A 15,734-nucleotide genomic window follows, 5' to 3' on the forward strand; every position below is an offset into this window, starting at 1 on the left:
TAATGACTCTTTAGAAAAGGCAGCATAGGAGATGCAAATCAACAGCTTCCTCTTTCAGGGAAGGCAGTGCTGCTAGAATTGCAGCCATTTAGAAAATCAGTTCATAATGGACTTATGAAGTCCTGTGTGTACTTTCTTCAAGACTTTTGGAAAGAAGGCTCCAGCTCACAGTATACATATATACATAATTCTTTCTTCTGCTATCATTTTCTTGGAAATTTAAACCAGGGTGAATATACATTTCTCTCTTCTTGCTTCATATTGTTGTTAGTTGGTTTCTTTGGCAGTAAATGTGGCTTTGATTTTAGTCTCTGAACTTATTAAATTTAACATTTTATTTTTTACTTTTGGCATGGAAGACTCAAGCACTGTAGCACTAAGTTATTCCAACATTCAGGAGGCCAGAGAAATTTTGTGAAAGTGAGACTCTAGTTATCTAGCACAGCCCTTTAGCCTTCACATGCTACAGAGTTTCAGCAACAGCCAGTGACTGCATTGTTCCCTGTAAGCAAGTAATGCAGAAATATTAGAGGCCTAGTTGAATTCATATTCTATGCCTGGTTTATATCACTGATGTTGTAAGATCTGGCCATGGACTAAAAAAAAAAAAATCCAAATGTTTTCTGGTTCTAGTTTTTGATTTTTTTTTCATATGAAAAGTAATACCATACAGAATTTCTTGATTGCACAATGAAGCACAGTTCCAGGGCCATGCTAATAATTTATCCCAGTTTAGCCTTAGCAGAATTATCCAATGGCTGTTTCAAATATATTCATCCAAGCCATTTGATTGTAAGGTTCAAGAGTCGTTCTGCTGAATAAAGAATGGAGTATGTGCTCTAATATGTGTTTGGCAGGTAAGGCAATCTGTTACTCTCCTATGGAGAACTGAATCTTTTTAAATTTCTGCTCCCAGTTGTTTTAATGACTCTGTTTCCCCAGTAGCTATCTGGTGCTATGTCAATGGTAACTGTGGAATTTATCATAACAATGACAACAGCAATAGCTACAATAACAACAAAGAATATGTGCCAGGTACTATACAAAGAGTTTTATGTATTTTAGCTCATGTACTTCTCCAAGCAATGAGAAAAAATTTTCTTCTAAAATACTATACCCAGTTTAATAATAAGGGAGCAGCTCATAGGAGAAAGTAATTTGCCCAGAGTCATATGCTTCTTAAGTGGGAGATCCAGAATTTGAACCCTGGCACTTTGATTCTCTAACCCATGATCTTAATAAAAGTACTATAAATAGAGTCCAACATGTGTGACAATTTTTGACAATGAGAGCAAACCTACTGACATTTTACATTTAAGAAATTTTCACACCAGAAGTTAAGTACTTGGGTTGGTCAAGGGACAAAACAACAGCAACAACAACAACAAACCGGAACCAAAGGGAAACTGCTAGAGATGTGTGTACAAGAGGAGTGAAGTATCATTACCTTCTATTCTTGATTTTAAGGAAATTATATGAAGTGAGAAAAAAAGGGATGTGGTATCCTCCTCCCACCCTACATATACTCTTGATAATGAAAAGTTTCTTTCTAATACAGTGTACTTGAATTAATGCAAGTGAAATGTTTATTTCCCTTCTATTAATTTTGGAAACATTGTTTTTTTGGTAACTTTTTATGGGAGCATAGGTGAGATTATCACAAAGGTTGCCAAAGTGATGTTTGCAGATTGATGGTCTTTGTTTATAACGTAGTTTTAACTTGGTGATCTATCATGTCTTTGCAAATAGTGTCTCGTATGTAGCAATTGTGAGATGTCTTGTCTTTGTAGATGAGAATGATTTTAGTAATCGTGAGGAGACTGCCCTGTATGTGGAAGCCTGTTGAGAAAGAAATGGGTTTGGTGCATGCATGTGAATGTCAATCTGTTTTCAATCTTCAGGGCTGAGCTTGGCTCTTTCTACTTCTGTTTCACAAGGAAAGCAGTGGGAAAGAAACGCAGTAACAAGCAGGTACCTGTGGCGCTCCCCCAAGCCCTCCCAGTCATTTAGCAGATGTGCCTTGTGACACACTCTTCACGGTGAAGTTTTTGTATAGAAATACATGAGTATCAAATGGCTGCCATAGAGGTTCCCAAGACGGGGCACACACCAACTCAGAATAAAAAAGAACCAAAATAATGCTCAAGGAAGACGGAGGAGCCGGGAGTCAATCACTATGTCAGTAAGGTGTGGAGTGAAATTGCCCTCCAATTTGTTTTCCCCACCCCTCCATTGCCTGCCACACCCACCCCCATCAGATTAATACACCACCAGGAAAGAATTTTAGAAACCAGAGGTGGAAAGACTGCCCCCTAGGTCAAGTCCTCCATTCCTCTGTCAAACCTGGATCAGCCTCCCAACACTCTGTGCCCTTTCTAGTTGTTGCTCAACTTGAAGTGTCTCAAGCGTAAATTTTCCTTTCTTACTTTTATCCCATTACTTGTAGTTACAACCCTTTTTGTTAAGCCAACGAATTCCCCTCTGCCTTTTATAGACAATTATACCGTCTTTAGTCTTTCCTTGAATTTCACTCTTTTATTTTTCCTCTCCTCATATGTCAACCTTCTGGCCATTCAGTAATTCCTTTTGACTTGCTCTGAACTCTACACACAGTGCATCTCTCTCACTGTGAGGTCCTCAAAGCCTGAATGGACTCTACTGAGTGTGGTTTCACCCTAGACTGGATAAGGAAGCCAGTATTACCTCTCTTTCTTAATATGGGCTACTTTTGCCAGAGCGTTTCAAAAGCACTATGTAAGTTTACTTTGGCTATGAGATTGCCATGGAGAGAATTCTTATTTAATTATTTATAAACTTTCACCTGTGCCTGGGAATGTACTACCCTCTAAATTAGCCCTGTTCAATAGAAATTAAATGTGAGTGACACATGTTCTTTTAAGTTTTCTAGTAGCCCCATTAAAAAAGTAAAAAGACACATGTAAAGTAATGTTAATAATATTTAATATATCCAAATTTTCAGTTCAACATGTAATCAATATTAAACATTATTAATGGTGTAGTTAAATTCTTTTTTTCTATGAAACCTTGAAAATCTGGTGTGTTTTATACTTACAGTACATCCCAGTTCAGACACTGTATATTAATCAGAAATACAGTACTTGATCTGTATTTGGATTTCATAAACTTTAATGCTGAAGTAGATTTATAGGCCAAGTTGTTCAGAACATATTTAAAAGTTGTCCAGTAAATTGGAGTGTTTGTTTTTAAATTTAAATTTTAACTAACTGAAGTGAAATTAAGTTAAAATTCAGTTCCTGAGTTACACTAGCCACATTTTAAGGGTTCAAAGGTGGCTAGTGGCTACCATTTTGTACAGTGCAACTCTAAATCTATAATAATTCTAAGTGCTTCCGTCTCACATATAATTTAGCTTCTATTTCCCCCAAATGAATCTTACCTTTTGGATTCTTGATCATATAAACTTTTCTTGTGTGTGTAGGGGGTTCATTATTTTTATTTTCCTCTTTGAATTTTGATGAGGCATCCACTTTGTTGAAGGTTTTGTAATATAAGTTCTTAGATGTTAAGATGCTACAGTGGTATGGTTTTTACCATACATACATCATCATGAAAATTCATACATTATCATGAAAAAAATCTTAGAAATCAGAAACAAAAAAGACCTATAAGATGTGTAGGCTTGAAAATAGTTGCTATGTCATGGCTTTATACTGAAATATAAATGTTCTTTTTTAACTTTTTCATAGAAATGCCAGTGAAGCTTAAAGAATAAGTATATACCCAACACCTATTCCTGATAAAACACTTAGCAAACTAGGAATAGAAGGGAACTTCCTAAACCTGATAAAGAGCATCTACAAAAAGCCCACAGTTAACATCATACTTAATGGTGAAAGGTTGCATGCTTTCACCCCTAATATCAGGAATGTGACAAGGATATCTGCTCTTGTCATTTCTGTTCAATAGTACTGGAAGATCTAGCAAAGATGATTTAAAAAGGAAATACATAAAAGGCATTTAAATGGAAAAGGGAGAAGTAAGATGATCTTTATTTGCAGAGAACATGTTCTTATGTAAAGAGCATCCTAAGGAATTAAAAAGAACAACCTAATGAAACTAATAAAAAAAACTCAACAAGGCTGCAAGGTACAAGATTACTATTTTAAAATCAATTATATTTCAGTATACTAGCAATAAACATTCTGAAAATGATATTAGAAAAAAATTTCATTTATAATGTCAGCAAAAAGAATAAAATACTTAGGTAGAAATTTAATAAAAGAAGTGCAAAACTTGTATTCTAATAACTACAAAACATTGTTGAAAGAAATCAAATATCTAAATAAATGGAAAGACATCCTATGTTCATGGATTGAAATATTTAATATTAATGTTGTGTAAGGACAGTTCAGAAGGGTCACAGCCAACATGTAACAAAAGATGGATTAAAAAGAGAAAAGCATAACTAATTTACTTACTAAACATTTTACATGACACAGGAGGCTTCAGATATGAAGAGTCAAAGACACAGGGAAAACTACTTTTATGCTTAGGTTTGATAATGAATGGACAGCCATGTAGAAATGTGATTGGACAAAAGAGTATATCTAATGGCAATAGACTGAGGGGAAACTCAGCAAGACCTGTCTGTTCAAATCCCTCATGGTTGCTCTGTGTAGTATTCCTTACTCCTGGGTATGGGACAGGACTCCTGTGAAATGAGGGTCTTCAAGGGAGAAGGGAAAGAATGACCTTTCTAGGTTTTATGGCTTGCTTTGGAGGAGAGTTCTATTTTCTGTGACTTGCCTTGGGGAAGAGGAATTCTGGTTTCTGTGAGTGGCTTCAGGGAAGAAAGAGGGGCAAGAGACAGAAGGATGGGAGAAGGTCACAGACATTTTACTTCTGAGGCTCTTCCAATATTTTTCAGTTCAAAGCACTTGGCATACCAAGGCACATACTTTGGAGTATCATGTTCTGAGCCCTGACAATAGCAATATTTGCCATATTGAAGTACAGATGAAATTAATGCCTATCAAAATTCTGGCTAGCTTTTTTTTTTTTTTTCAGAAACTGACAAGTTGATCCTAAAATTTATATAGAAATGCAAGAGACCTAGAATAGCTAAAACAAAGTTAGAGGACCCATTCTTACTGATTTACCTCCTAGAAAGCTACAGTAATCAAGGCAGTGTGGTATTGACATAAAAATAGACATCCAGGTCAATGGAATAGAATTGAGAATCTAGAACTAAACCCTTATATTTATGATTTTTGACTAGGGTGCCAAAACTATTCAACAGGATAAAGAATCATCTTTTCAACAAACAGTGTTGGGGCAACTTGATATCCACATGGAAAAGAATGAAGTTGGATCTCATCATATACAAAAATTAACTAAAATGAATCATAAATTTAGATGTAAGCACTAAACCTATAAAACTCTTAGATAAAAATATTGGAGTAAATTTTCATGAGCTTGGTTGGGTTAGGTAGATAGAGTCTTTGACTTCATCAAAATTAAAACTTTTGTGCTATAAATGACACTATCAAGAAAGTGAAAAGACAACTCTTACAACTCGATTCTTTTTAATATAAGAACTCAATTAGAATACAACTCAGTTCTAATATAAGAACTAATACAAGAATTCATAATGTGAAAACTTATATTACAAACGGAAGGAAATTCTGACACATGTATAACATAGGTGAACCTTGAAAACATTATATTAAGTGAAAGAACATAATAGATAGTGATGAAAAGATAAATCAATTTAAAAATGGGCAAAAATATGACAGCTATTCCTCCAAGAATGATATATGAATGGCCAATAAATATATAAAAAGATGCTCAATCATTAGCCATTAGGAAAACGCAAACCAAAACCACAATGAGATATCATTTTACACTTACTAGGATGGTTGTACAAAAAACACAAATAATACCATGTGTTGGTAAGAATGTAGAGACATTGGAACCCCTCATGTATTGCTGGTGGGAATGTGTATTGGTGCAGCCACTTTGGGAACCAGTTTGGCAGTACTTCAAAAGAGTAATCATGGAGCTACTATAGGACCCAGCAATTCCACTCTTATCAATGCACCCAAGATAAATGAAAACATATATCCACACAAAAACTGGCACACATGTGTTCATAGCAGTGTTATTTATAATAGCCAAAAGTATGAACAACCCAAATGTCTATCAACCGATGAATGGATAAACATGATGTCATATATATACAATGACATATTATTTGTCAATAAACAGAAAGGAAATTATGACATGTCATAACATGGGTGAACCTTGGAAATATGTTAAGTGAAAGAGGCAACTCACAAAAGACCACATACTGTATGATTCCATTTATATGAATGTCCAGGGTAGGGAAATCTACAGTGACAGAAAGTAGATGAATGGTGGTTGCCTAGGGCTGGGCTGGTTGGGGGTGGGAGAGGGCAGAAGAAGAAGTGACTGCTAATGGAGCCAAGGTCTCATTAAGGGATAATGAAAATGTTCTAAAATTGATTATGGGCTTGGCATGGTGGCTCACGCCTGTTAATTCCAGTATTTTGGGAGGCTGAGGCAAGAGGATCGCTTGAGGCCAGGAGTTTGAGATCATCCTGGACAGCACAGTGAGATCCTATCTCTGCAAAAAATTTAAAAATTAGCTAGGCATGTTGGCACATAACTGTGGTCTCAGCTACTCAGGAGGCTGAGGTGGAGGATCTCTTGAGCCCAGAAGGTAGAGGCTGCAGTCAGTCATGATCATGCCACTGCACTCCAGCCTGGTGACAGAGCAAGACCCTGTCTCAAATAAATAAATAAATAAATAAATTGATTGTGATGAATATATATACTAAAAACATTGAATTGTACATTTAAATATATGAATTGTATTGCATGTGAATTTTAATTCAACAAAGCTGTAACAAACAGATTTTGTACCTAACATGGATATATCAAGGTAGACTGTCTCAGTTTTACTGATTCAGAGAGCAATAGGCATAGCTTATAAAACCAAACATTTCTGCAGAAAAGCTAAACTTTAGGGTGGGAGGGTAGGACATTACAAAAAGGAAAATGAAAAGAAGATTCCCAAAACTCAAATAGCCAAGAAAGAGGATCACTTTTATGAGGAATTATGAATTAAGTACTTACATGGCCGAAAAGGATGAGGGAGAGAACTCTAAAATGGATGGAAATGTCTGCAATAAGCTTCCCAAGACTCCTGAGTTTGGGTCACAGGAAAGAAGAGAAATGAATCCTTTGCCTTGGAGAAAGTGCACTAAGCCCAAGGGAATGAACCTGTGAGAAGGTGTAATGGAACACTCACTGCTTTTACACTGTTGGATTTCTCCTAGGTCCACTCATTCCCCAACTTGCTTCTACATTGGTGTTGCTATCTCTGTGACCTCTTCACAAATATATGAACTACTTTGAAAGTGGGATGCTCTGAGAAAATTCCTGGGGGAGTCTCATTGACACATTGCTCACAAATGCACTTGAGAAACTGTGTTTCATCAGTAACACTTTGAGCACCAGGTACAAACTACAAATGAATGTTGTGCAAACGTTTGGCAGAAATACAGGCTTTCTTTACCGTTAGGCATATCTGTGGCTTTTTGATACTGTAAACAACTGACACAGCCATGGAGGAGTAGTGTATCTGAAATTGTTTATACAAAAGAATTCCATCTGTCAGTCTGTTTATAGTTCACATGTAAATGGGCAAAACCTTCATAATGAGAGAACCAGCAGAAATTCTGAATATGCTGCAAATAATTGTTTCAAAAGGGTGTGTTGAGAATTTTCCTCCCCCACTATAAGCAGTTTGCTTAGAAATTATGCTTCTTGGTAACTTTGCAGTAATTCCATGTCCTTTAAAGTTAAAGATGCAATGATTGGAAAGCTTAGGCTTGCTTTTGGCATTTCTGAATGCCAGGCTCTGCAGAGCTCTCTAAGGCTCGGCAAGAGAATTATACCAGGAAAATGTTTTGCCTGAGGCAAGGTCAGATGCTAGAAAGCACTGAGAGGTTGGCTGACTGGGACATCAGAGGGGAGTATCCTTTCCAAGAACATTGGAACATTTTCACCATAAAAGATATTATGAGTCCCTGGCATAAGGAAGTCCTGCTTAGTTTATCCTTTTATTCTTCTTATCGTTCCTCTTTGAGTAATGTTTTATTACGAACTTGCAGCTCTTACCCCCTGTAACTGAAGCACTTCATTTGGTTTACCCAAAAGACATGGCCAGAGGTGGAGGCACAGAGAAAACCTAAAATTGCAACAGGAGTGTTTGTGTTGTGATTCGCTAATGTCCCAGCTTTTATTTTGAAGAACCTATTCTTTTAAATGCTCTACAGTTGCTGAATGTGAAGTATCATGACTTCAAACTTCATTAGGTATTGAGTTGAGAAAAAAACTAGGGCATTCAGTGAATGAGGTATAAAGGTTTTCAATTTTTGAAATTTGTTTGAAAGGATGAATTAATAATCATCATCATAGTTCATGATATAATTCATAATTATTTGATCATAGGGAAAAAGATTATCAAAGATATAATTTTGCCTGAAAAACAAAACACAGGGGCAGGTCTTCGTTCCAATAACCTCCAGAATTATCTTATCTCTACATATTTTGTGTATCTGTGTCTTCCTTCCTTCTTTCCTTCCTTCCTTCCCTCCTTCCTTCCTTCTTTCCTTCCTTCCTTCCTTCCTTCCTTCCTTCCTTCCCTCCTCCCTTCCTCCCTCCCTTCTTTCTTTCCTCCCTTCCTCCCTTCCTTCCATCTTTCGCTTTTCTATACATTCTCTATATAAAGAGACTTGAACAGTTCCCATAGTGATGCTTTTCTCAACCTTTAGAATTTCCATCTTCAGGGCATTTTCCCTAATATGTAATCTAATACCCATGACTGCATTTTTGGCCTATACTCTTACTTTGTTTTTGTCAATGCAAAATTATTTTTTAAAGTTACTTAACTTAAATTGGTTCAAATCTTTCTTTTTCATCAAATTGTAGTTTTAGTAGGTCATCAGTGCTTAACTTCACAGCATTACTGACATAGAAGAGATTTAGGCAGATCAGCCTCATATGGGTAAAGGAAAATGTTTCCTTGAAATAGTCTTTGAAGTGATGGATTTTTAGAGTGTCAAAATATTTTCATTTTCCTCTCATCCCTCTCTTTTCTTCCTCTTGTTACCTTTCCTTCGTCCTTCTTTTATTTCCCTTCTTTTCACCTTTTCTTACCATTCTTCTTACATTTCTTCCCTTTTTATACATATTAAGTCCCTACCATGTGCTAGGTACTAGGAATTCAGAGACAAGCCAACCAAAGCTACAGTTGATAAATTCCCAGTCTGATGTATTAGACATTCAAGAACATCAGTGATTAAAACAGCATATGTGCGTCCACAAGACAGATGGGAGGGACACCTAATTTAACTAAGAAGGTCAGGTGGTGCATTTGAAGTGAGACTTGTAGGAGCAGTAGTAGTTTACCAGGTAGACCAGGTAGACAAGGGAAGAAAGTTCTTGGCAAAAAGCATAGCTCCTTCCAAAGTCTGTGGTTTCCTCAGGAAACCACCAGTAGTTGCATGAGCCAGGAGAACAGGTTGCTTTGTCGAGTGTGATAGGAGATGGGCAGGGAATACCATGCTAGAAAATTCAAACTTCACCTCTAAGGTAATGGGAAGCCACTGCTGAATTTTAAGAAGGGGAGTGATAAAATCATGCTGTGTGATGGACAAATGGAGAGGAGAAGGGGCAGGAGAACAAATATTTGTCGAATACATGTTATATGTCACATCCACTGCTACCGCTGCTTTAAGTATACAGGACTTCAAGTATACAGATTGCAGTTAATTGTCCTAGCAACTCATGAAGTGGATATTATGATTTCTGTATGACGTATGAGGAAACTGAGGTTCAGAGGTTTGTGTCACATGTTTTCATCTCTCTCTACCAAGTGTCAGATTTGGAATGTGAACCTAGATCTAGTGGATTTTGAATGTATTTTAGTACTTTGCATGAAGCCTGCCTAAGGAAAGACTAAATATTTTTAAAATTCCGTTTTAATGGAGGAAAATCTTATATTTTTAAAAGCACTTTCATATTATTCTATCATTTGGAAGAAGGAAGCTGAGGCAAAATGTTGTTATAGAATTAACCAAGGGTTCTTAGATGTTTCAATAGAAAATATGATAATTATAAATATTTTTTGGAGCGTTTTACCCCAAGAACAAACCAGATCTCATTTACAGTGCTTTTCGTCATCCTCTCAACCTTTAATTTTATCTTTCATCTTCTCTCTCTACTTTTGGGATGTAGGGGATTTTTTTTTTTCTATTTTAAAATTGAGGACATTGAGGCAGAAAAGAAAGTGACTTGCTCATAATAAAACAGAGCATAGAATGTGAAGAGCTTGATTTTATTCTTTTTCTCTCCTATGAAGTAACATTAGGTATGTATGTATGTATGTATGTATGTATGTATGTATGTATCTATCTATCTATCTATCTATCTATCTATCTATCTATCATCTATATGCTAGGGCTGCCATAACAAAATACCACAGACTAGCTGGCGTAAACAAATACTTATTTTCTCACAGTTCTGGAGGCTGCAAGTCCAAGGTTAAGGTGCCACCAGGTTTGGTTTCTCCTGAGGCCTCTCTCCTTGGTTTGCAGATGATCACCTTCTCACTGTGTCCTCACGTGACTTTTCCTCTGTGCATGCCCACCCCTGGTGTCTCTTCCTCTTCTTATAGGTACAGCAATCCTATTGGATTAGGGCCACACTCTTATGCCTCATTTAATCTTAATTACCTCTTTCAAGGCTCTATCTCCAAATACAGTCACATTGAGGGTTAGGGCTTCAACATATGAATTTTAGGGGTGCACAGTTGAATTCAGTCTGTAACACTATCTATATATCTTAAACTCCAAGGCATTATGATGCAGCCTGCTAGTTAGCATTAAATGAGGACTGATTTTAGTCAATGAAAAATTAACCATTACAGTGCCACATGAATTAGTTAAAGGCTGTCAAGGTGTGGGTTTAGAAAACTCATTGATTTTGTGGAACCAATATCTCTGTGTTGGAAGAAGCCCTAAATATGTCTAATTCACACCCCTCATTTTTCAGAAGAAAAAATGGAGACCTAGAGGTTTTAAGTGACTTGCTTAAGATTATACAGTTTGTTCATGGAAGAATTAGGACTGGAACTTGGATCTACCGAGCACTGCTAAGGCCAGGTTTACAGGTTGAGAACAGCCTTTAGTTTTATAAAATATGCCTTAACATTATCCACAGTCCAGAGCATTTCAAGGTATATCCTGAGTTTTTGTAAGTCACTAACATCGGAATAAAAGGAGAGAGAGGCTAAGTGGAACAGAAAAGAGGAAAAAGGGAGAAGGAAAGGGAACACATGCTCAATGAGGAAGACAAAAAAAAATGTAGCTTCATTGATGGGCTAAAGTGGAGCTCATTGTCTTCTCTGCCAATGATTCCATCCTCAGCACACAAAAGTGGGTGGTACCATCACTTCTGTCAGCCACAGAGTAACTGGGAGCAATCCACAACTTCTCTCTCCCTTTCTCTTGCTGAGAAAATCTTCATCACTTCATCACAAATCCTGCCAATTTTACCTCCTAAAATTGTTCCAAAATCTCTCTTCTCCAGGCTCATCCTATCATCATGTCTAAAGTCAGCCTTCATCGTCTTCCATGTGGGTCCTTCTAACAGGCCCTTAAGTGTTTGTCTCTGTCTTCTTGTTCTTAAATCCATCCTCTGTTCCTTTGTGTAAAAGCCCGTGTTGCCTGTAGCAGCATTTCTTCTCTGACTTATTTGCCCCTTCAAAAATGACATATCATCTCTTTATCCTCTTTAGAGTTTTATTTTTTATGATTTTTATTATGTGTTTGGTACATAAGAAAGACATTCTTGTAGTATCAAAAGTAGAGGGATAATAAAGGCTAATATTTTGAGTGCTTTTGCGGAATAGCTCAATTGTTGCTCACAATAATTGTGAAAGGAGGTACTATGATTATTGGCATTTTGCAAAAAGAAATTGGAGGCTCAAAGAAGTCAGGTAACTTGTCTGAAGTCACACACCTACAAAGTGATGGAGCTGTGCTTCCAGTTGGATTCTAGAGCGCACATTTTCAACCACTGTCCTTTATTGCCACTGCTGTGTCCTAAGCAGGTTCACTTGACATATACTTGGAGGCTCTTGATGAGCACAATTAATAAAATTCTTTGATTAAAAACAAAAACAAAGTCGGAAGAGAAAATCACTACCATTGGCATCCATGCACTCCTGGTACATTCCTGCTATATCTCCCCTCCAAGGCTTTGCTCATCCTGTGCCTTCTGCCTGGTATGGCCTCTTTTCCTCTCTCAGCTTTGCTAACTCTGACTAATTCTTTGCGATTTTAAGAGATAATCTCCTCTAGGAAGGCTTTCAGCTTCCTCCTTCTTAGACTCTTATCTGGGCTAGATGGCCTTTGTCCATGTTGCATAGCACCATTTTCCTTTCTATGGTGGGTTTTCTGTACTCAATTGTGCCTCTCCCTCCCCTCCTCCTGTCTAAGGCTGGGAGACATATTTCCTAGAACCAGTTCCCTTGTATAGCTCTAGATTTAATTTTGCCAATGAGAGAAATCCATGTGAGATTTGAGAGCAGAAGTGAAGTAGAGGTCACTGTTCTCAGCGAGGTGTGGGGTCAGACATGGCAGATCTCCAGATGTGAGCTCTCACTTTATGGTTTCTGGGCTTCACAAACTTCTCTGCAGGCTCCCTCTTTGTGGCCTTCCTGGAAAGTTCCAGCAAAAGCACCCACACTACGGTGCTCAGGGTGAAATCTTCATGGTCAACCTCTTGACCTTCCATAGCATCTTTCCTGATATCTGCTCTTCCAACAGGCATGTGGTCCCCTAACTTTATGTAAAATCTATTTATTTAATATTCAAAGTGCATAGAGTACACTGGTTCCTGAACAAACCCTGACTGATAGATCATCCCTAACTCATTAGAACTGAAATCATCAATGACCATGGATGTCTGTGTCTCCATCTGAACATAGGTGCTTTAAAGCCCAGATCATCTTTTTATACCAAATACCTAGCATGGTATATAGTATACCCAAAGTAAATGTTTGATTGGTGTGGATACTTAGCTTCATGAAAAACTCCATTACTTTAGGGATGACAGTTTCCATATTTGGGGGTCACCTGTGGGGTAAGTCTTGTCAATGACCTCCACTTGTAGGCATAAGAAACAAAAGGAGGGAGAGAAAATAAGAAAAGGGAAAAAATGGCACAGGAGAGTAAAGTCCGAGAGGAAGAAAATCAGAGAGGTGAAGTGATAGGGAACAGAATAGGAAGCAGAGAGCTGGGGTAGCCAAGTGCCCCCTTTATTGGCTGTCAGCTAAGCAGTTGCTTATCCTAGAGCAGGAGTATCTCACCTTGAGTGGCACTGCTGTCTTCTCCACAATCCTCTTTTAGGAAAACTTCATTTTCCACCTTCCAGATTTCTGCCGATGCCATAAGCTAGCCATAGGGCAACATCCAAACATTAAGGCTTACCAGACCCCAGAGTCTCACACTGCACCTTGTATTGTGGGGGAGCAGCCAGAGGCAGAGCCTTGCAGGTTGGAGGACACACATTCAGGTGCCCCCAAAGGCAAACTAGGATTAATTTCTAAATTTTCTTTGATCTCAGGCTAATAAATTCAAGTAGGTTTATTTTTTCACTTCATCTGTTTAGTAATAAGGAATATTTTTTATTTTAGGAGCTAGGAAGGTTAGAATGTTTTCAAAACTATGATTAATGATAATAGAGGATTTTTTAGGATGCATTTTTTTAACTGTTACTTGTCAGATTTAACATTTTTGGGACAAAATTCTTCAGCTAAAAAGATGGCTTTAGATGAACTGTATTCTTTTAAAATTTTAATCGTGTGTTCTTCTTGATACTTAACATCTTCTCCACTCATGATGAAAGAGGGCCATTTTTTTTTCTGTTTTGCACAATAAATACACACAGCTTCTATATTCCTTCAGAGTAAAAATCTGCTTTCCCATCTTTTGTTCCCTTTTCCAAGGGGAATAGAAAAAAAATCAATTACCAAACAGAGAGCAATTTGAAATCTTTGAATAGGTCAGGATACATTTAAATTCCACATAGGAAAAAGAAACAGTTTGCAGCAATATAGATTTACTTAACAATTTTCCTTAAATTTAAGGATCATGTGTGGCTTCCATTGATCCATTAGGAATAGATCATCTTTAGTAAAGGTATTTCACTAAAATTGCTTTCATGTGAAAGACAATTGCTTTAATATAATAAGTTTGTTACTATTTATATGACGTGCTCTGGAGAGTTTAAGAAATAGCATGCAAAAAGTTTTTCTATATAATTCTCATATTTTTATTTTATTTTATTTTATTATTTATTCATTCATTTTTATTTCTTTGAGAGAGGCTCTCACTCTGTCACCCAGGCTGGAGTGCAGTGGCACTATCTCTGTTCACAGCAGTCTCGACCTCCAGGGCTCAGGTGATTCTCCCACTTTAATCTCCCATGTGGCTAGGACTGCAGGTGCCACACCACCACACCTGGCTAATTAAAAACATTTTTTTTTCTAGAGACAGGGTTTCACCATGTTACTTAGGCTGGTCTTGAACTCATGGGCTCAAGCGATCCATTCACCTTGGCCCCCCAAAGTGCTGAGATTACGGGCGTGAGCCACTGTACCTGACCCACTCTCATATTTTTTAAAAAGAAACTGTAGAGTTAATTCTTTAAAATGATTCTCAGATAGCAAACAATAGGAAAAGTAAAGGCATTAGAGAGGTGAATCAGGAGTGAAGGGAATTTGTGTGTGTGTGGTGGTGGTGGAGGTAGGGGTGGATTGAATAAATGGAATGTTTACGTTTTTTATTTTGTTTAAAACGTGCTCTCTGCCCTGGTGTTTCTGACATGTTCACAAACACAAATTCAACATTAAAATAAAATGAAACAGTTAAAAAAGCCTGTCCCTTCGAGGAGGTTGGAAGAAGATCCTGGCATCTGTGTTTCAGGGCCTGGGAGTGCTTCTTCTTGGGCTGTGAACCTGGACACGGGGAGCTGGCAGGCACACGTAGGCTGGCAGGCATCATTGTCTAATGCTGCATAGGAAGGGGGATGTGGCTGCAGGAACCACTTTAAAGAAACCAGAGCTCCCTGGTGATGAGTGATGAGCTCTCAGGAATGAAGGGTCTTGAAGGAGGTGGGTGGGAGCAGGGGGTGGTTGTGGTAGCGTAAGAGGAGGAGGGACAAGGTGGACTTTCCAATACTAAGCGTGAGCCATCAGTCCCTTCCACAACAGCCATCTGTGCTCTTAGGCCTCCCGTCTCTCCCTGCTATTCCAGAAGTGCTAGGCAACAGCTTCCCTCCTCCTGGCGAGGACCCTCCCTAGCACACTCATCAGAAAAACACAGCCGTGGTGCATTACATCAGCATAGGGTGGGGCCTGGAGAACACAGCAGCCCCTCACTGCTTGGAGTGGGGATGATTCAACCCCATTCAGGAGTGGGTCAAGGGAGAAAATCCACAGTTCAAACCTAATGATTTTTGCTTCTTGTTTACAAGTTTGAAATGTGAGTGAGGTAGAGCATCAGAGCCCTTAGGATCTTTTGCTTTAAAAGTATCCCTTGTGAGGGTGCCTTTGATACTCCTTTGGATTACTTGTTGCTTTTCTACACTCATCTTTT

The 15,734-nt window shown here is 37.9% G+C and overlaps 1 long non-coding RNA gene across 6 annotated transcripts in view; it reads left to right on the plus strand.

Annotated features, from left to right (window-relative positions):
* LOC105370504 (uncharacterized) overlaps window positions 1-15,734 on the plus strand; it is a 402,142-nt gene that overhangs the window by 173,521 nt on the left and 212,887 nt on the right. The window lies entirely within an intron of this gene.

The sequence above is a fragment of the Homo sapiens genome, chromosome 14 (genome assembly GCF_000001405.40).
Source record: "Homo sapiens chromosome 14, GRCh38.p14 Primary Assembly".
NCBI classification, from domain to species: domain Eukaryota; kingdom Metazoa; phylum Chordata; class Mammalia; order Primates; family Hominidae; genus Homo; species Homo sapiens.